This window comes from Homo sapiens, chromosome 4 (genome assembly GCF_000001405.40).
Source record: "Homo sapiens chromosome 4, GRCh38.p14 Primary Assembly".
Classification (NCBI taxonomy): domain Eukaryota; kingdom Metazoa; phylum Chordata; class Mammalia; order Primates; family Hominidae; genus Homo; species Homo sapiens.
The window spans coordinates 175,967,203-175,989,613 of record NC_000004.12 but is presented as its reverse complement, the minus strand read 5'-3'; the positions used below and the strand labels follow the sequence as shown (position 1 = coordinate 175,989,613).

At 35.3% G+C, this 22,411-nt stretch overlaps 1 protein-coding gene across 4 annotated transcripts in view, besides 1 other annotated feature; it reads left to right on the top strand.

The window, feature by feature from the left end:
* The window catches only part of GPM6A (glycoprotein M6A), a 369,457-nt gene that overhangs the window by 12,780 nt on the left and 334,266 nt on the right, over nucleotides 1-22,411 (top strand). The gene's annotated exons all lie outside the window — the stretch shown is intronic.
* Nucleotides 14,361-14,542: a silencer, noted in NCBI's record as "fragment chr4:176896223-176896404 (GRCh37/hg19 assembly coordinates)". NCBI's record gives its function as "represses an EF-1alpha promoter that drives an FKBP-Casp9 reporter gene in an ReSE screen in phorbol 12-myristate 13-acetate-treated (for megakaryocytic differentiation) K562 erythroleukemia cells {active_cell/tissue: K562(+PMA)}" and the evidence as "EXISTENCE:reporter gene assay evidence [ECO:0000049][PMID:32094911]".

The window sequence follows — 22,411 nt, the reverse complement described above, 5'->3', positions numbered from 1 at the left end:
TGTATAGTTAAGTGTTGGTAATTGCAGGATACCAACAGCTTTTTTTTAAAAAGATCACATGATTTAGCATTATTAAAATTTATTTTCATATTTTTAATACTTTAATACTTGTATGACTTAATTGAGATGAAGGGCAAAGAAGAAAGATCCCTTTCTTGTAATACCTTGTATTTCACATTATTGTCTGTAGGTCTCCATAATTCTGGGGCTCTCTTCCATGTCTTCCCTTTTGCCCCCTATTTTTCCCCTTTCTTGCTTTTTCTTGGCTTTTAAAGCTCAAACGATGAATGTTTAAAGAGGCTATTATCCTTGGGTTGAAAGACTCATTCAGTTCTCTCTTATCTTTTACATCAAGGACTGATTCAAAACAACATAATTAAAATAAAATACAGCATAATTAAAACAAAGCATTCTGAATAGTAATTTTTTTTAAAGCTAATAGGATATTTGTAATTATGTCTTTTCATTTTTCAGTAAAGCCTTCTTTAATTGATATGTGGTGCTATGTGCAGATGAATTTTTAGATGCAAATGTGTATAAGAAGTATTGCTCTACTGGTAGGCATAGCTTTAATATGATCTTCCAATTCCTCCAAAGACTACAGAATTGGGGTACAAGTAGCTGTTTGCTCTGCTCAAGTTGAGTCCTTCTGTTTTCTTTGTCCCTGGCTTTCTTCTTCTGTCCCAATGGCTGTATCTCACTGTTTATTTATTAGCTGTTTAGTATGAAAAAAATCTACTCTTTTAACATTGACAACAAATCAGAGTAATGAGCCTGCCCCTCACGCTACATTGGGTATAATCTTTGCCAATTAGGCTCTTGGCTGGTTTTGATGCACTTTACCATCCTGAAAGTTTGAGAAATCTGACTGCTTTGTTGGTTGTTGTTTTCCTATTCTTATTAGCACTTGCCAAATCTTTTGTCATGCATCTTTAGACCAATGACAGCTTCTAGGTCAAATTTCAGTTTTGATCACTGCATCTTTAGAAGTAAAGCTAAGGACTGAAATAGCCAGTTCCTTTTCAGTGGCTGCAATGGATGCTGATTAGCTGCATGCTGGTTGTTGAAGTCATAGCAACAAGTCCTACTTATTATCTTTTGGGCATCTCAAATAAGGTTCTTTAGTCTTTGAATATATGACTACAAAAAGTTTCATCTCCTAGTGAAAATGAATATGTTCTTTCATAGGACAACAATTTCATAGAGTTGATTAAGCATTCTTGTCTAATGTTCATTTCTGAACAAGTAAGCTGAAATTATTTGCACTCCTGTCTTTCTTTCTTTGTCCAGTTTTCATAATTAGGCTTTCAGTGGACTTAATCTTTTAATTTTAAAATGATTAATTGCCAAGTTGTTGGGTGCCATTGCTTAGGTTACTAAGCTAAACATAGCCAGCAATAACAAAGAGAAGTGCATTGAAGTGGGCTATAGTGGCAACAAATATTTACAAAAAGTTCATTTTCAACAATGACTCAGGATATTTTGTAGTCAATAATGTTGTTTAGAGAGGAGATAGCTATGGTTGTTTTATTTTTCTAGATAAAGGTAGATTTGGGAAGATAATCTTGTTTTGTATTAAATTCTACTACTATATAATTTATAAATACAAATGGATTTTTTCTCTTTTCACAACTAACAAATAATTCTAATTTCTGCTTACATAAAACCTCTTTTGGTGTTATGGAATTATAAAGTTTAGACTTTTTCAGTCAGGTTAATGGGTGAAAAAAGGTTATATTATTTTACTTTATACATCATTTGAAATAAAATTTTATATCATTCAATTAATTAATTTCTAAGCAACCTGAAACAAAACATTCTTCCTTGGCAAATTCATGACAGTTTCATGGCAATTTTTGATTTAGAACCATCTGTTCTCAACTTCTAGATCCACTAAATTGGAGAAAGGATCTATTATCCCTAAGTTTAGTTATGTTATTTGTAGGCCTAATAAAAATAATATATAATCGTGGAGTTGTTGAGATGAATAAATGAGGGAAAATAAGTCAAATAGCTTAACAAAGTCACCAGGAGAAAGTATTCAATTAATATAAAGACAAACACACACACACACACACACACACACACAAACACACTTTAGTACAAAAGTAAGTTTGTCTTAACTAAGTTTTAAGTCTTAATTTCTTTTTAAATCTATCATAAAGAGAACTTTAGATTTGTAATTTAAGACAAACTTCAATCAAATGAGAGGTTATTTTTCTAAACCAATACACACTGTAGTCATGTGTTTTCTTAGGAATAAGCTGATCATTTAAAGCTTTTATGGATATTGTTAGGAAGAAGCTAGAATTAAGAGCCAGGTGTTGGTCAAAAGACACTTAGAGATGGTCCTAAAAATCAGAGCTTGCTAAGTCTATCTGTGTAATTCATTCACCAAGTAATTTTTAAACTTGCTATTTGCTAGACAGAATGCTTAGTGCTACACATTTCTAAAGAAAGATAAAATATGGTACTTGGTATAATAATAAAACCGTAGGAATTATATGGCATAACAGATGTTGAGGTGGAACTTTATATGGTGTATATGGGCAGAAGACAGTAGTTGAAATTCCTCTTAAAATGTCAGTAAAGGATTCAGAGACAGGCTAGAGCTAATCCATAAAACTTTGAAATGATTTGCCTGACTTATGAATCAAGGAAAAGGCCTTCTAGCCAGAGGAGTAGTATGAATAAAATATTGAAATGAAAAAAGCATGAGGTATTCAATGAATTGTAAGCAGCTCAGTTGACTGGAGTATAGAAATGTGAGAGATGTGCATTGATCAACAAGAGCTCAATTAGGGGGTGGGGCTCTTGCATGACATGTTAGATGGTTGGCCTTTTGAGCAGTAAGTGTGTAGATGCACTGTTGGCTATTTGCTGGGGAAATAAGATACTTAAATTGTTCACTTAAAACGATCATTCTAGCAGCAATGGAGATGAAAAATATGATACATGGGAGATTATAAACAACAGGAAAATATAAGAAAGGTTTTGTTTAAGAATAGAGGTAAATACGTCAAGTACTGCAAAAATTTAAAAGTCTCTTTTTCTTGTTTGTAGAGGTGGAGTCTCACTCTGTTGCCCAGGCTGGAGTGGCAGTGGCACAATACTAGCTCACTGTAGCCTGGTGGGCAGAATGCAGACTCTTCTGGGCTCAAGCAATCCTTCCGCCTCAGCCTCCTGAGTAGCTGGGACTATACCCACAGCCACTGCACCCAACTTATTTAAAATTTTTTTTTATAGTGATAGGGTCTCACTATGTTGCCCAGGCTGGTCTCAAACTTTTGGCCTCAAGCAATTCTCTCATCTTGACCTCCCACAGTGCTGGAATTACAAGCATGAGGCATCACACCTGGCCTAAAAGTGTCCTAAAAATAATTCTTTCCAAATAACACTTATTGGAATGGAGGGATGGTTAAAGAGCTGAAATTTCATTTTCAATGTTTGAAGGAAAAAAACCATATGATCATCTCAGTAAACATAAAAAATGCATTTAATAAAATGTAGGCCAGGTGCAGTGGCTCATGCCTTTGGGACCCTGCACTTTGGGAGGCTGAGGGGGGCAGATCGCAAGGTCAAGAGTTCGAGACCAGCCTGGTCAACATGGTGAAACCCTATCTCTACTAAGAATACAAAAATTAGCTGGGTATGGTGGCACGTGCCTGTAATCCCAGCTACTTGGGAGGCTGAGGCAGGAGAATCACTTAAAACCGGGAGATGGATGTTGCAGTGAGCCGAGATTGCACCACTGCACTCCAGCCTTAGTGACAGAGCAAGACTCCATCTCAGAAAAAAAAATTATAAATAAATGAAAGAAAACATATTTAATAAAATTTAACATTAACTTATGATAAAAATTATAAGTAAATTAGGAATAGAATAGAATGGTTATAAACTGATCTGGGAAATCCTGCAAAAACTGTAAGTAACATTATATTTAATGGTGAAACACTAGAAACATTCCCAATAACGTCAAGTACAGGAAAAGGACACTCACTCTTGCCATTGCTATTCAGCGCTGACTTTGTTTTCCTAATCAGAGCAATCAGAAAAGAAAACATATAAGTGGAAAGGTTGGAAAGATGGAGGCAAATTTGGCATTAATCAAGACAATGCACTTGTCTATATAATAAAGACATTCTACAAGAATTAAAAATAATAAGAGATCAGCAGGAATGCTTGGCATAGGTCAACATGTATTACCAAGAGCATTTCAGTATCTCAACAATACCAAAACAAGGGTAATTAAAATCTAATTTACAATAGCAAAAAGTTTTATACTAATCCCAGCAGTAAATTTACCAAAAATATATGAGATTTTAATGGCAGAAAGCAAATGTGAACACATGATAAGATAGATCTGGTTAGCAGATATGCAATCTCATTATCACATCTCTTTCAAATATGTGTGTGTACATATATAGATATAGATATACATATATTTTCAAATGCAATTTCAAGAACATTTTCAAAAAAGTTTTCATGGAATCTACAAACTGATTCTAAAATTCTGTAAGGAAAAGAGATGTTCTATAAATTGACATAATTCTGAAAAAGAAAAAGAAGGTGGGAGAATTAAGCCTTCTAAATATCTAGACTTATTCTTAAACTACAGTAATTACAACTGTGGTTTAGCACTAAATAAATACATAGATGACTATAACCCAATATAGGTCAAAAATAGTTCAGCTTTCTGTGTCCTTGATATATAATAGGGGAGGAATTACTAATCAATGTAGGCCTACTCAAAAAATGGTGATGGGACAACAGGTTTATGCAGACAATGAATAAATTATTTTACTGCCTCACACATATCCCTATCTTACCCTACACATGAAAATAAATTCTAGATGCATCTGATAAGAGTTACCTAATAAAGATCTAATTGTAAAAAACAATAAAAATATAGGAAAGTATCTTTATTACACTAGGGCAGGGAAGGATTTTAAAAATATAGAGGAAAAGTAGTAATAAAAAATACTGACAAATTTTACCATATCAAAATGTAAAGCACTTCTATGAAGCAATAAAATATTGAAAAACAGGTTGGATTTTTTTAAGTGTTAAGAATATATAAATAACTTATACATCACTAAGAAAAAAGACAAATGATACAATAGAAAATGAGCAAATAAAAGAACAGGAGAGGGCTGGGCGCGGTGGCTCATGCCTGTTATCCCAGCACTTTGGGAGGCCAAGGTGGGTAGATCACAAGGTCCGGAGATCAAGACCATCCTGGCTGACACGGTGAAACCTCGTCTCTACTAAAAATACAAAAAAATTAGCCGGGCGTGGTGGAACGCACCTGTAGTCCCAGCTACTCGGAAGGCTGAGGCGGGAGAATCTCTTGAACCTGGGAGGCAGAGGTTGCAGTGAGCTGAGATCATGCCACTGCCTTCTAGCTTGGGTGACAGAGCAAGACTTCGTCTCAATAAATACATAAATAAATAAATAAAAATAAACAATAATAGAACAATATAATTTCATGGAATAAGTAATCATGGATGTCCAATAAATATATCAAGAAATGCTCTGATCTCTGGTAACTAGAGAAAATCAGGTGTGTGTGAGTGTGTGTGTGTGTGTGACAGAGAGAGAGACAGAGAGAGAGAGAGAGAGACAGAGAGAGCACAATAGGTAACTGGAGTCCTCCTATATGCATTAAATAAACTGAGTTAATAGTTGTAAAGCTTGCAACAAAGAAAACTCCAGATGCTTCCCTGGGGAGTCTGACCCGCCATTTAAGGAAAATATAATAGCAGCAGTTCTATCACAAAACCTGCCAGAAAGAAAGAATAACGAAAATCATTCCCAACCCATTTTATGAAGCCAGCATTCCCTGATGCCAAAAGCAGACAAAAATAAAATAACACTCTAGACTAATATATCTCAGGAGCATAGATGCAAACTTCCTCAAGGAAATTTTAAGCAAATTGAAACCAATATGCAACATGTATAGGCCAAGTGGGCTTTATTCTAAGAAAGCAAGGAAATGGTTTCAAATGGTTTAACATTTGAAATTTAATTAGTGTAATTCACCATAAGAACAGATTAAAAAAGAAAAACCTTATAATCACCACAATAGACATAGAAAAAGCATTAGACAAAGTTTTAGCATCCATTCACGATAAATTTCTTTAACTAGGAATAGAAGTAAACTTCCTTAACCTGTTAAAGGACATTTTAAAAATCACAGAGGGAGATGGAATTTTGTCTGCTGAGACAGGACCTTCAAAATAGAAAGCTCTGCATGGTATATAAAGAGCTCCAAAGAAGCATGAGAAATACAGTGCAACTGCGTTATCACCATGAAATTAAGGCATTGTTTAAAATATTTGTTAAGCCACTTTCCATTCTATGTATCTGTCTGATACGTTATGCAATAATCACAGCCACTTGAAGAGTTGGAGGTCCTTTAAAATCTGATTATAGATTATCTGTCCTCATAGCTTTCCTCCTTCGTTTTGGTCCTTTAAATTCTCCCCTCCCCATCTTTGAGGCACCTTGTGCTATATTGATTTATTATTTAACTTGATACCAGGGATGCAGCCTGCAATAAAAGTCACTTGACAAAATAAAATTGCGTTATGTTCTATGACTCCCACAAAAAATGAAAACCATTTACAAATAGCACCAAAATATATAAAATAGGTATAAACCGAACACAATATGTACATGCCGTTTATGCAGAAAAATACAAAATAGCCATGAAAGAAAACAAAGACCTAAATAGAAAGATACACCACATTAATTGATTGGAGGACTCAATATTAAATTGTCAATTCTCTCTAAACCTATCTATAGATTCAGTGCAACCTCAATAAAAATACCACCAAGAAGTTTTATAGGTTGATTCTCAAATTCATATGGAAAGGCAAAGGAAGTAGAATAGCCAAAGCAATTTTAAAAATGAACAGAATTGGAGAAGTCATGCTAATTCATTTTAAGACTTATTCTACAGCCATCATAATCAAAACTGTGTGGCATTGGTGAGAGGATAGATATATACATTAATGGAATAGAGAACAAACTCTAGAGATAAACCCACATCACAATTTCAGCTTATTTTTGACAAAGATACATAGAGTATTAAGTGGAGAAAAGCAAAGTATTTTAAACAAATGATACTGGAAGAATTAGACACCATGTATAAAGAAATGAACCTTGAACTTTGACCTAACTTGTACATTATAAAGACATTAACTCAAAATGGATATAAAACATAACTGTAAAACATTAACTTACAAAGCTTTTAAGAGAAAGCAAAGGAAAAAATCTTTTTGACCTTATGTTAAGCAAATATTTCCTAGGACAAACACAAAAAGTCTCGTTTTGAAAGAAAAAGTTGATATCCATCAAAATGGAAGACACTTATTTTGTGTCTTATTTTGTGACACATTAAGGAAATGAAATGACAAACCGTATACTGGGGGAAATCATTTGCGAAACATATACCTGATAAGAGACTGATATCCTAAATATATAAAGAATAATAAAAACCCACTAACAAGAAAACAGAGGGCAAACAACTTACATAGACACTTCACTAAGAAAGATATACAGGTGGCAAATAGTCATAAAAATACATAAAATATTATTAGTCAGTAGAGAAATGCAAATCAAACTGACAATGAGATAACACAATACACCTATGGGAATAGTTTTTTTTAAAAAAGGAAAACAGAACAAAAATCCAAGCAAAGAAAACCAAAAAAACCTGACAATACCAAGTCCTGACAGTGGACAGCTGGAATTCTCAAACATCGTTGTGGGACTGCTAAATGGTACAACCACTTTGAAAAATGGCTTGGCTGTTTTTTATAAAATCAAAAATACACTTAAAATGTTCCAGCAAGCCCTCCCTTATGTATTTACCCGAGATAAATAAAAATGTATGTTGACTCAAAAATCTGTTAAGCGCAGGTTTATAATGGTTTTATCTGTTGTCATTAAAAATTGGGAATAATCTGTGACCTTCAGCTGCTGAATGGGCGAACTCTGGTGCAGCCATAGATGGAATTCTACTCAGCAGTAAAGAATGAAGAAACTCTCAATAACATAGGACATGGATGAATCTTAAATGCATGCTCAGTGAAAGAAGCCAGACTCTAAAGGCAATCAATCAATTTATGTGACACTCTCAAAAGGCAATCAAGATAAAAAACAAAGCAGTGCTTAAGAGTGGTTGGAAGTGAGGCAAGTGGTTGACTACAGATGGACAAGACAATTTATGAAAAATTGTTCTATCTCTCAATTACAATGATGTTTATGTGACTGCATACATTTTCCAAGATTTTTAGAATTTTATTCTAAAAAGGATGAGTTTTCTGTGCAACAAGTTATATCCCTTTAAAAGCCAGATGAAATCTGATATAACTAAACTTTGCCCTTGGTTGATTTTGAGTGGTAGGTCATTTTTGTTAATTATATTATTTTTATGCTTTTTTCCACCAAATAAAAATAAAATAAAAACTATTTCCCCAGTTTTTAAAAGATTAACAATAATTACCTCTAGATAACACTTTCCCTATTCCTGCTTCAAACCGTAAAATCCTGTATTTGTAATCTTTCTTTTATTCCCTTCATTTCCTTCAGTTTCATACAATGTACAAAATCTTTAAGTGTTAGACATAGTCGAAGTGATAATTTCTGTAAGCTACTTTTGATTAAAATCATTCAATTTAGCCAACGATTATGCATGAGATAATATGTTTCACTTATTTTATATTAAAAATTGAATGCATCTTAAATGGCAAAATATGCTAACAAACAAACATCAAACCCTACGCCTGCTGAGCTGGTGTACTGATTGAGAGGAAGCCTTAGGATTCCTAACTCTTGAGAAGTGACCTGTACATAAATCTTTTCAGTCGTCACATCACTATTATTATTGCCAAGATAAATATTTCATACATTTTTTCAAATTTGAGAAACATACTTTCAAAAACCTGTCTTGATTCTACCCAGCAGAATTTGGAAACAAATATTATTATAATCCATCAAACTAATTCAATCCTCATTTTAAGAACCCCAGTTTATTTAGGAAGAACATTCACAAATTTACTAGAATATTCCAGTTAGTAGGCATTGATCTTACACATATGAAAACTAATAATAAGGCCCGTGTCAGAAAGCAAGCTAAATAGTCATACTTCTAGGGTTCAAATCCTGTTGTCAGTACATTCAAAACAACTTTAAAAATTTAAATGATCTTACGGTGAGGCCTCAAGGTTTTTGTTTTGTTTTGTTTTTTTGAGACAGGGTCTCACTCTGTTGCCCAGGGTGGAGTGCAGTGGCACGATCTGGGCTCACTGCAATCTCCATCCCTGTGGCTCAAGCGATCCTCCCACTTCAGCCTCTGGAGAAGCTGGGACTGCAGATGCATGCCACCACGCCCAGCTATTTCTTTCTGTAGTTTTTGTAGAGTCTTGCTATGTTGCCCAGGCTGGTCTCCAACTAGTGGGCTCAAGTAATCCACCTGCCTGAGCCCCCCAAACTGCTGCTTTTTTAACTTTTGTAAAATGATAATATTACTTAATTCAAGGTTTGTTGTATGGATTGAAGATATGTAAACTATCTCACACAGTACCCAGACCTTAGCAGATCTTCAAAATTAGCTGTTATAAATTTCATTACTGGATGAAATAATACTCTTAATTATAGTCAGGGCAAAATAGTAAACCAGATCAGTATACTTGACTGCAGAGGAGTAGATGTAAAACTCACAAAACAAGAAGCAAATAGCTCTCTTAGCATTACTACTGTTGCTAGTTATTACTATTATTATTTACTTTTAATTAACTTAGTGGTAAATAGAATAAAGCTATCAATTACAAATTTGTGGTTGGAAAATAAGTAATTGATATTTTCAGCATCATAGCCTAAGTGAAAATTCATTTTCTTCTCCCTGTCTTTTCCTGTGAACTTTTGCCATGGTTCCAGGTCTATAAGCCTGATCTCAGAAACTCAGGAGCTCTCCATATAAAGTTTTTTTATATGTATTTTTTTTATTATACTTTAAGTCCTAGGGTACATGTGCACAACATGCAGGTTTGTTGCACGGATGAAGCTGGAAACCATCATTCTCAGCAAACTATCGCAAGGACAAAAAACCAAACACCACATGTTCTCACTCATAGGTGGGAATTGAACAATGGGAACACTTGGCATATGCATATAAAATTTTAGTATGATTGATATTTACTTTTGACTCTGCTTTAGTAATAGGCTGCTGAACTTAAGAACGGAATAATTGACTCAGTTGATGTGACAGTTTTTGCTCATCCTATACCACCTGGAAAAGTTGTGTTTAAATAACCTTTCAGGCAGTATGGTGATTAAATATTCAGTAATATAAATTGATGCTTGCTTGAAAAACAAGTCGTTAGTTTATGGAATTGAAATAGAATCCAAGTAGTCTTCAGTGTTGTTAAACTTACACCTCATGAAACTGTAGTCAGTCTTTACATTGTTGTGGCAGTTGTTTCTTGGTAAAAACGAGCTTCTATTCTGACCAGATATTTATTTTAATTAAGGGAAAGCTAGCATTTGCCTGAAGTTGAGGAATAAATGGAGCAATTGTGAAATATTTATTGGAATTTTAAAGCAAGGTTTCCAGAATTCAATTTGGATTTTTTTTTTTTTTGCTTTAAATGGACAGTTTTAGGCTTTACATGGGCTTTGATAAAATAGATACAACACTGCAAAGATACCACCTTTACTATGATTGAGTTAATGCAGCTCCACGATTAGCAGCGGTTCTTAACTCTCACTAATGCATCAGACTCACTTAGAGAGCTTTTAAAAACTAGGGCTATTTGGCTTACCTATTGAGATAGAGTTTCAGTTGATTCAGATTAAAACTCAGATATTGGTATTTTTTGAAAAACCTATAGTACTTGAATCCAATATGCAGCTAAGCCTGAATATCTGGTTGAAAGTACTTGAATTAGACACTATGGTTGTTTATTGCCATATTATTTGTTTTTTCAGCATTGACTCATTGTAAAAAATAATAATAGTACATCTCAGTGGCTCACACAAGTGATTTATTTCTCTCTTAAGTCACAGTCTGGCCTGAGTGGGAAGAAGGTATGTGGAGGCAAGAGGGGAAGGGACTGATCTTTTTTTGGGTACTCTAAAAGAAAATACTAAATGATAGCTTATATGGTTTGGCTCTGTGTCCCCACCCAAATCTCATCTCAAATTTTGTAAGCCCCACCTGTCGAGGAAGGGAGGTGTTTGATCAGGCAATTGGTTTTCCCCATGCTGTTCTCATGATAGTTAGTGAGTTCTCACGAGATCTGATAGTTTTATAAGTGTTTGGAAGTCTCCCTTCTATTACTTCTCTCTCCTGCCTCCTCGTGAAGAAGGTGCCTGCTTCCCTTTCACCTTCTGCCATGATTGTAAGTTTCCTGAAGCTTCCCCAGCCATGTGGAACTGTGAGTCAATTAAACCTATTTCTTTTATAAATTACCCAGTCTTGGGTAGTATCTTTATAGCAGGGTGAAAACAGGCTAATACAATAGCACATCAAAAATGGTATTATTTCTTAAAACTTTGTTTAGCATCTTGAAAAAAGTAACAATACATATTTACTTTTAAATGTTTGGAAAATTTGGAGAAACCTTTGAACCTGACAGCATTGAAGTAGGACCACATAGTATTTGGAGGGTTAAGTGGTGCGCATGCGAAGGGAGACTACTGAGCAGAAGTGTTTAGGAATTCAAGAAGGTTAAAAAGAGTTCAGTTGGGAGTCACACTTTCTTTCTGCCATTTGATTATAAACTATCACCTCTTAAGAAGAACCAGGAATCTCTACTTGAATTTAAGCATAATGTTACTGCATCACGTAGACATTGAATATAGTTTTATACACTTTTCCTGATAATGTGAAGTTAATAGCCTCACTGTAAGGCTAATGATATGGGAAGGAAGAAGAGAATTATTAAGATTGTCTTTAACTTTTTATATAAATATTATTTTGTATGAATACAAGTTTGTAATCACAAGGCATTTTTGGTAAGAATTTGATTTAAGATATGTATCAAATAATGTATTACTATTTTTAGATATTAGGAAGAATATAGTATGTTTCCATTCACTAGGAATATCTAGGCTTTTCTAACAGGTATGAAGAGCTTATGTAAATTAAAACCCATATTTCAAGATATTATTAGAGCAAGAAGAGTTTTATTTTCCCTAAAAGACAAAACATTGAAAGAAAAGTTGTTCATTTTTTGTAGTATTTGTCAGCATGCTGACAAGAAAGTACTAAATAAAATACAGCTAAACTTTGGGCGTACATGACTGTTTTATCCATTGTAGGAATACTAAAGGTGTGAACACTGATTTTCAATTTGTGATAGGAATTTCCATTATTAGGACATAAAAAATCAGTCTGGCTACTTTACAGTCATGTCATATTCCAAAGTCTAACTTTGATGAATTCTTGTCTCAGATATGTTGTCTTTTGGAGACCAGTTGTTCACACTCTTCTATTTCTTTGATTTGCCTATTAATTATTTATTTAAGAATACAATGTTTTGACCTTATTTGAATGAGTTTATTAACATATTAGCTTGTAGAACATTTATATAATTTTAAAGATCTGGATAGTTTCCAATAGCTTAATTATGCAAATTCACCTATACTTCTTATATCCAACACCATTATGGAATGCAGGGTTGTCTATTTGTTTTATTTTTCTTGATTTATTCAATTCTGTCCTTTTATGCTTAAATCTAGGCATTCTACTTACTTGTTATGCAATTTGTGTGTTTTACTTGAGTTCTCTGCTGTCATTTCTCTGTGTGGGTGGTTCTACCTCACTTGTACCGTTACAATGATGGTCAGAAGCAGAGAGCTCCACGGGACTGCCTTAGTCCCTGACACAAGGCAGGGCCTGGCCAATGGAGCTTTCTATTAGTGGACCGTTCATCTGTGTACCCATTTCCACAGAGTCAAGCCTTGGTGGCACTTTGCCCTCTTTGTTGTAGACCTTCACTTAATGAGTATGCATGGTCCCTACCGTTGGTTCTGAACCACATTGTTACACTATAATATTATGTTTATTTAGCTATTGCCTGTGGTAAGGAAAAAGGACAGTTTTAATAATAAAAAAGGGGTTTGAAAGACAACATATTGGCTGGGCGTGGTGGCTCACGCCTGTAATCCCAGCACTTTGGGAGGCCGAGGCGGGAGGATCACAGGGTCAGGAGATCGAGACCATCGTGGCTAACATGGTGAAATCCCGTCTCTACTAAAAATACAAAAAAAAAAATTAGCCAGGCGTGGTGGCAGGCGCCTGCAGCCCAGCTACTTGGGAGGCTGAGACAGGAGAATGGCGTGAACTTGGGAGGCGGAGCTTGCAGTGAGCCGAGTGCAGCTTGCAGCTGCACTCCAGCCTGGGCGACACAGGAAGACTCCGTCTCAAGAAAAAAAAAAAAAAAAAGACGACATATTTAAGCCACAAATGTGTTAAAAATTGTGAAGTAATAAAACCTGGTAAAAACATCAGTGTGAAGCATGGTAGGTGACTTATTAAAACTGGATAACACAAGGCCAAATTAGAAGACAGTCTAAATCACTGAATTTTCAAACACAAATAGCATAGTTTTTTTTTATTCCTAGCATACCAAAAGCCTTGAAAGCCACTATTACTATGGTTTTGGAAAGAAAAATCTTATCTTTTTAACGGTATAAGCAGATGAAAATCATTTAAAATGACCTCAGCACCTTTTACAGAGAAATTAATTTAGTGTTATTTTTGGGTGCTTTTTCTTGATAGATAACTAATAAACTAATTTTCACACTGAAGATTCTATGATTACATTTACAGTACTTTATCTTTGATTAATAAATCTTTTCTGTTGAACAAAGATACATTTAAACCTATGATAGATTAAGTTATCTAATACTAAATCAGTGCAATAAGAACTAATAATGTTTTAGAATAAGGTGTAAGTGTTTAAATATTTCTAAAAATTAGTTAGGAACTGGTGAGAAATGCAATTCTAGAGGCATTAGTGCAATGCTGAGAAGTCTGGATTTTTTGGTTGTTTTGTGCCCATTCATTTACTCGCTAAATAAATTTTGATTGAATGACCATCATATACCTACTATGTTCCAGATAAACTGTTAGATGCTGAAAATATAATCATGATCAAGGTAAACATGGTTAGTTATATCACAGATGTTTACAGGCTAATGGGGAAGAAAGGCAAGTAGACAACTGCAACTCAGGTATTGGTATTCCACATGACCCAATAAATCTTGTTACTCACCCAAGTTTGGATTGTAGACAAACACTCTGGCAGATGGAGCTAAAAATGTTAGCTGCTTTTACTGATGAGGAGTTTTGAAGAAAAGAACTTTAGTTAGTCTTTCCAAGGGGGCTTATTAATGCTTCAGCTTGGAGTTGGACAGATTTACCTGTATACAGGCAAAGTGCAAGAGAGGCTGCTGCTCAGAGCCTGTCCCCTAATCATGTATGGCACAGATGAGCAGAGAATGCAGGCAGGCACTAGCTTGTTGTATTAGAGAGGCATGTGTGAAGGCTGAAAGTGGAGAGGTAGGAGATTATGGACTTGAGGGAATTGAAAGTAGTTCAGATTGGCTGATGTATAGGCCAGGTGCGGTGGCTCATGCCTGTAATCCCAGCAGTTTGGGAGGCTGAGGCAGGCAGATCACTTGAGCCCAGGAGTTTGAGACCAGCCTGGGCAATATAGGGAGACCCCTGTCTCTACAAAAAATACCAAAATTAGCTGGGCATGGTGGCATGTGCCTGTAGTCCCAGCTACTCAGGAGGCTGAGGCTGGAGGATAGCTTGACCTTGGAATGTTGAGGCTGCCGTGAGCCGAGACTGTGCTACTGCACTCCAGCCTGAGGCACAGGGTGAGATCCTGTCTCAAAAATAAAATAAAATAAAGGAAAGGTACCAGGAGAGGTGTCTGGAAGACATAAATAGGATTCTTATGTACATGGCCTTGTGGTCATGTTGAATAGTTTTGATTTTATCCTAGCAGCTTGGAGCTGTTGATTTTAAACAGACAGTTGACATAGTCACATTGCCCTTTAAGTGTCATTTAGGGCTGGGCATGGTGGCTCACGCCTGTAATCCCAGCTACTCAGGAGGCTGAGGCTGGAGAATCGCTTGAACCCGGGAGGTGGAGGCTGCAGTGAACTGACATGGGGCAACTGTCCTCTAGCCTGGGTGACAGAGTTAGACCCTGTCTCAAAACAAACAATCGATCAAACAAACAAACAAACAAGGCATTTAGGAAGCTTTTTTCAGGGTGGATCTGAAAGGGACAAAACAGAACAAAGGATCTACCATACAGGCTGTTTATTTTTATTTTTATTTATTTATTTATTTATTTAGAGACAAAGTCTCACTCTGTCTCCCAGGCTGGAGTGCAGTAGCATGATCTCAGCTCATTGCAACCTCCACTTCACAGGTTCAAGCAATTCTGCCTTAGCTTCCCAAGTAGCTGGGATTACAGGTGTGCGCCACCACGCCCAGCTGTTTTCTGTATTTTTAGTAGAGATGGGGTTTCACTGTGTTGACCAGGCTGGTCTCAAACTGCTGACCTCAGGTGATCTACCTGCCTCGGCCTCCCAAAATGCTGGGATTATAGGCATGAGCCACTGTGCCAGGCCAGGCTGTTTTAATAATACAAATTATTATTAAACCAAAAATGATGAGTTAAAAACTGTGAAGCAATAAAAGCTGGTGAAAAAAAAGTCAGCATAAAGCATCATATGATAATTTATTAAAAGCGGATAAGACAAGCGGCGGTGGCGCAGATGTGTACCAGAGTAATGAGAGTCTGGGTGAATAGGTTGGAAAACATTTGCTATTTTATCTTTCTAGACCCTTCTTAGCCATTTCACTGCTCATTAGCACCTCCACTGAGAGGCTAGCCAGGGGAGCTGAGTCAGATCTTTCTAATATTCTTTCAGAACAGTGTTTTTGAAGAATGCTTAGTAATTTTTAAAATTGCAATTGATAGTCATGATGTGGTTTGGGATTAACTGAAAATTGCATTTATTCATCCTGTCCCAAGATCTCATTAGCATGTATGACTGAGTTGGAAGTGAAGTTAATTATGTAGTTGACCCTTTTAAGTACCTCACTTTGCATGTGATAATTTGTAAGCTTTCTGCAAAATTTTAATTTGACCACCTCAAAGGAGTCACAGCTTTCATAAGGTGGACCTTACTGAAAACAACAATATGTTAAACAGCAAAACCGTGTTCTAAAGCTTTGTGAAGTTCATTTTGGGATTAGATAAAAAGCTAAATAATTTCTTGGGTCATGCTTGTTTTTAAGAATAAACTTTTCCTCATTGTGTAAACTCTGTTGACGTGGACTGCTTTTGGTTTGAAGACCTAGAGTAGACACTGAATGCCCCAAGGCTCAATATTCACGATATTATCTAATCTTTGACTTTAGAAGATGTTGCATCTATAAAGTTAAATCCTCTGGACCTTTTCATGTCTATTTCTTTAAACTTCTGGTTTATGATTTGCCATAAATCATCTCTTTTCAGGTGGGTGTTCACTGTTATGGACACACTTTGTTTTCATTGACATAGCATTGTGAGATTATCAATGGACATAGATGATCGTCATGTGATCATCCATTCATTTCCACCAACACTTAGTGAGCACTCAGTTTATGCTCAGCACTATTGACTGCCCCATGGATCTGAGTTTAATAGTATAGAAAGATAATAGATATAACTGCTCATGAGAAATATGAGTAGAGATATACATTGTCACAGCATAGAAAAGACAGTAACTAATTTTCCCTTCATAATCAAGAAAGGAAACTTTGCATAACAATGGAAAGGAGTGTTTCGAACCACTAAAAAGCATGCATCAAGCAGAGGTATTCACATATGCAAAGAAACAAGCCCAAAACAAAGGTAATGTGATATTTTATATTTTATTTTTCTCTGTGTTAACAAAGAATGTTCTCTAAATTTTAAATAATAGGCTATACATATGAAGATCCTAGCACCGTAAATTACCATTTCAGATTTTATTCTTAAACATCTTATTTTATAGTGTGGAGCCTGAGGCCAAGACAAGTGAATTGGCTTGTCCAAGGTAGTATGGTTGATCAAAGGCAGAGCAAGTCTGCAAGTGAAAACGCTTGCATTTAAGATCAGTTTTAAAATACCGTGTTCAGGATTGTTTTGTTGTTTTTATCTATAAGTCTCTTTAGAAATAATTACTGGCATGAATTTAACAATCATCCGTGATTTTGCATTTTAATGTAAACAAAATCTTTTGAGCAAAATAAATAATTTGGATTTTTATATAGATACACTGGAATATTGTATTCTTCTTAAATGTATATACATCACAAATTTTTTTAAAAAAATCTTCTATTGCTTTTAGTAGCTGACTTTGACACAAATTTTCTTTTTTAAATAAATTTTAGAGCTACACGGGGGTTCTTTGAGTGAACTGATGAATAATAAAGTATATGCAAAGAATCATAATGTGAAGGGAAGGGAAGAATGAATAGTAGCACCATGGAGAATTTAGGTCAAAGACACTGCACGTGACTCTCTTCTGACTGGAAATACTTTTCAAGTAGACAACCGCGGAGAACAATGTACTCAGCTGCATGCCCCAGCAGTAAGACAGCGTGTGTCAGGCCAAGGAAATAACTGTTTCCACCCTCCCAAAAGCAAGAGATCCCATCACTGACTTTCACAAGGTGTGATTTTTATCTCTACTGGTTTCTCTTTCTAAAACCAAACAGCTAGAAATTATGCAGACTGTAGCCATTCCTTATTGATGATTTCAACATCTCTATCGTACTTTCATTTTTCTGGAAAAAAAATATGAAACACTTTATTTCAAAACCTATAATACAGAAAGACAGCTCCAGCAGAAACTTCAAAACCACTGTTTCTTCTACCATCTCTCTATTCACTGCACACCTCCTTCTTTCCTTTGGTTTGGTTTTCTTGATAGCTCAGTTGGCTCCCCTGATGCCGCCCGCTTCCAAATAGGGTAATATAGTAGAGTTGGAGAGAGATATAAAGGAGAGGGAGGGGGCTAATTTAGGGAGAGGAGTTGCTGGATGTCATTCTGTTGAATGTGTTTGGTTCTAATTTTTACGTGAAAAAGATGAATGAGGTTTTTAAAGAAAATTACGTGCACGCAATATTTTTGGTATATTAAGCACCTACTTTACTTCCTCGTTTGATTGCAGCTGTGAAAATAAATATGATCAGAAAATATGCTTTATGTTGGTTTTGATGCATAGTAACCTAAAGGCAGGTACCGGGTCCTTTTCAGAATTTTTTTTTTTTTTTTTCACGGAAGATAAAGAGAACACTAATGACAGGTTTCCCAGGAGCGCAGCAGCAGCAGAGTTAACCTTGCAGCCTACAGTTTTAATCCAAACCACTAAGATATTAGGGCTCTAGAAAATCTAAATATGTTCTGTATTTTAAAATAGAGTTAATAAAAAATGTTTGAAGGTGGTTGATGCTGCAGACAAACAGACTTTGTCAGGGAATTGCACCTTTTCTGGGGTCTGTATCCTTTACTTTCCTAACTGAGGCTGTATTGTATTTGCAACTTTCACTGAATTCCCCAGGAGCGCTCTGCGCTGCTCAAGCACAGGCTCTGGCGTCCATCTCTGTACCGCACCCTGTGTTCTTCAGTTGGGAAAAAAAAGGGTCTGTCGGTATCGAGTGATGCCTACACTTGGTAAGAGCAGTGGATCTAACAATCGGAAGATTTCTTCTTCTGACAGCTTAGTAATTTAGTAGAAGCGGTGACAAAGAAAAATAAAATCTTGCTTTTCTTTTAGTTGCAATTCCTTCCTTTTAATGTGACCTTTTATTTCAACATAAGAAGTTTGTTGTGGCTTCGAAGATACAGCTTGCTTCAATTCCCTTCTCCCTTTTCCTTTTTTCACTCGTGACTGTGTTAAGCTTCACAACCCTGCATATGACCCTTTAAATCTAATTTGAATGAGGAAAGAAATAAGCTTAGAAAGAATTTGTCTTCCAAAGACAGCAAGAACTCTGTCCAACTCTTTCTGTGTATTCCTTGTAGCCCTCTATTTTATAAACGTTTGTCAGTAAATACATATGTTATAACACACACACACGAACAAACCAAACGTATTACAAAGTCTATTGTTATTGTTTACCAGTAACTTTTTTTTCATTTCCCCTGCTTTTTGAATTTTGTTCTTTTCCATGGAAGTTCACTTTACTGTGTCTCTGAAAACTGTAGGGCATTTGGCTGCTGTGAGGGGTTCATGTGTTTGCTGCAATGAGAGTCTGACCTTCAACCCTCAGTTTCCTTCTCTGTTACAAAGCACAAGTCTGGTGTGTTTCTGTTTAAAAGCCAAAAAATCAGATTTCCGGTGAAAACAAACTTGTTTATTGAGAGGTGGCAAAGTGCAAGGGCAAAATAGTTTTATTTCCAGATAATTTGCCAAATATTTTTCAGTAGGAGAAGTTTTCTTTGATGAAAAATGTTTTTAGAAAGGAGAAAGGAAGGACACAGTGGAATATTTCGGCGTCATTGTGTTTTAAGGAACAATAATATCTGAAAGTAATTGCTGAATTGGTCCTGAAAGTAAAAGTAGTTAAATTGCTTTATTTTTGTGCTTAATAATTACTCATTTTCAAAAGATGATTGTATGCCTTTTGGTGGGTTTTAAAAAATTAATAGACATTATTTTTAGAGCCATTTTAGATTAATAGAAAATTGAGTTGAAAGTACATAGAGTTCTATTTACCCTGCATCCCTCCACACACACTTTCCGGTATTACTAATATTTTGCCCTGTTGCGATACATTTGTTGTAACTGATCAGTCAATGTTGATATATTGTTGTTGTTATTATTCTTATTATTTGAGCAGAGTTTTGCTTTGTTGCCCTGGCTGGAGTGCAGTGGCATGATCTCTGCTCACTACAACCTTTGCCTCCCGGGTTCAAGAGATTCTCCTGCCTCAGCCTCCCAAGTAGCTGGGATTACAAGTGCCCACCACCACGCCCAGATAATTTTTTCTTTTTTTCAGTAGAGAGGGGCTTTCACCATGTTGGCCAGGCTGGCTTCGAACTCCTGACCTCAAATGATCTTCTCGCTTCAGCTTCCCAAAGTGCTGGGATTACAGGCATGAGCCACCTTGCCTGACCTGATATATTACTATTAATGTCCATAGTTTACATTTGGGGTCAATCAATCGTGTTGCACATTCTTTGAGTTTTGACAAATGTATGATGATACCTATCTACTATTAGAGTATTGTACAGAATAGTCTCACTGCCCTAAGAATCCCCTGTGCTCTGCCTTCTCTCCCTCCTTGTACTAGACCTCTGCCACCACTGATCACTTTATTGTCTCTATAGACATTTTGTCTTTTCCAAAATGTCATATAGTTGCAGTCATATAGTACATAGCCTTTTCAATTAGCTTCTTTTACCTAATAATATGTATTTAAGATTCCTTATCTTTTCATGGCTTGATAGCTCATTACTTTTTATTGTTGTAAAACATTACATTGCATGGAAGTGCTACAATTTATCTATTCGCCTAGTGAAGGATATATTGGTTGTTTCCAAGTTATTTGCAATTATGAATGAAACTGCCATAAATATCCATAAATTTTGTGTAGTCTAAAGTTTTTAATTCATGTAGGTAAATACCTAGAATCATATGCCAAATGTATTTTTAGTTTTATAAAATACTGCCAAACTGTTTTCTAAAATGGCTGTACCATTTTGCATCTCTACCAGCCCATCAATGAATGAGAACTCCTATTTCTCTACATCCTTGCCAGCATCTGATATTGTCAGTGTTTTGGATTTTTGCCATTCTCACAAGTGTGTAAACGTATCTTATTCTTTTATCCTTCAGTTGTTTAAATGACATATGATGTGGAGTATTTTTTCATATGATAATCTATAATCTCTATGTCATCTTTGGTGAGATGTTAGGTCAGATTTATTGTCCGTTTTTTAATTGGGTTATCTGTTCTATTACTGTAGATATTTAAGAAATCTTGATATATTTTGGATGCCAGTCATTAATCAAATATGTGTTTTGCAAAGATTTTTCTCCCAGCTGGTGGCCTGTCTTTTAATTCTCTTTACAGCATCTTTTGCCAAGCAGCAATGATTAATTTTAATGAAGTCCATCTTATCAATATTTTCTTTCATGAGTCATATGTTTGGTAATCTGTCTAAAAATTCATCACTAAACCTAAAATCACTTACATTTTTCTCCTATGTCATCCCCTAAGATATTTACAGTTTTGTGGTTTACATTTAGGTCTATGATGTCCTTTGTGTTTATTTCTGTGAAAGCTATAATAACTCCTTCTGTATTCGTTCTTTTTTTGCCTATGGATGTCTACTTGTTCCAGCATCTTTGGTTTAAAAGGCTGTTTTTTTTTTCATTGAGTTGCTTTTGCTCCTTTGCCAAAGATCAATTGACTGTGTTTGTGTAGTTCTATTACTACGCTCTCGATTCCGTTCCATTGATTTATTTGTCTATTCTTTTGCCAGTATTACGCTGTTTTGATTGCTATAACTTTGTGGTAAGTCTTAAAGTCAGGTGATATCAGTCCTCCAACTTTGTTCTTCTCCTTCAACATCGTGCTGTTGATGTTGTATTTTTTCTGTTTCTTTCCATATAAAATTTAGAATCAATTTATTGATAACTTGAAAATAATTGGCTGAGATTTAGATTGGGATTACATTGCAACTATAGATCTAATTGGGAAGAACTGACATCTTGACAATATTGACTCTTTCTATCCATGTACATGGGGTACCTCCATTTATGTAGATCTTGTCTGACTTCATTAATCAGAATGTTGTAGTTTTTCATATAGTTCTTGTGTATATTTTGTTAGATTTATACCTAGGTATTTCATTTCTCTAATGGTAATGTAAATGACATTTTGTTTTTTATTTCAAATTCCAAATGCTCATTGCTGGCATATAAGAAAGTGATTGACTATTATATATTAACCTGGTATCCTGCAGACTGAAAATAATATTTTATTAATTTAGTAATTTGTTGATTCTTTGAGATTTCCCATGTAGACAATTATGCCATCTGCAAATGAAGTTTTACTTCTTCCTTCCTAATATTAATACCTTTTATTTCCTTTTCTTGTCTTATTGCTTTAGCTGGAATTTCCATTACAATATTGAAAACGAGTGATGAGCAAGGACATCCTCCTCACCATAGCAGGAAAGCTTCTAGTTAATTGTCATTAAGTGTGATATTAAGTGTAGATTTTTCTTAGCTATTCTTTACCAAGTTGAGAAAGTTCACCTCGATCCCTAGTTTGCTGAAAGTTTTTATCATTAATGGGTTGTCAAATGTTTATTCTGCATCTGTTGTCATAAT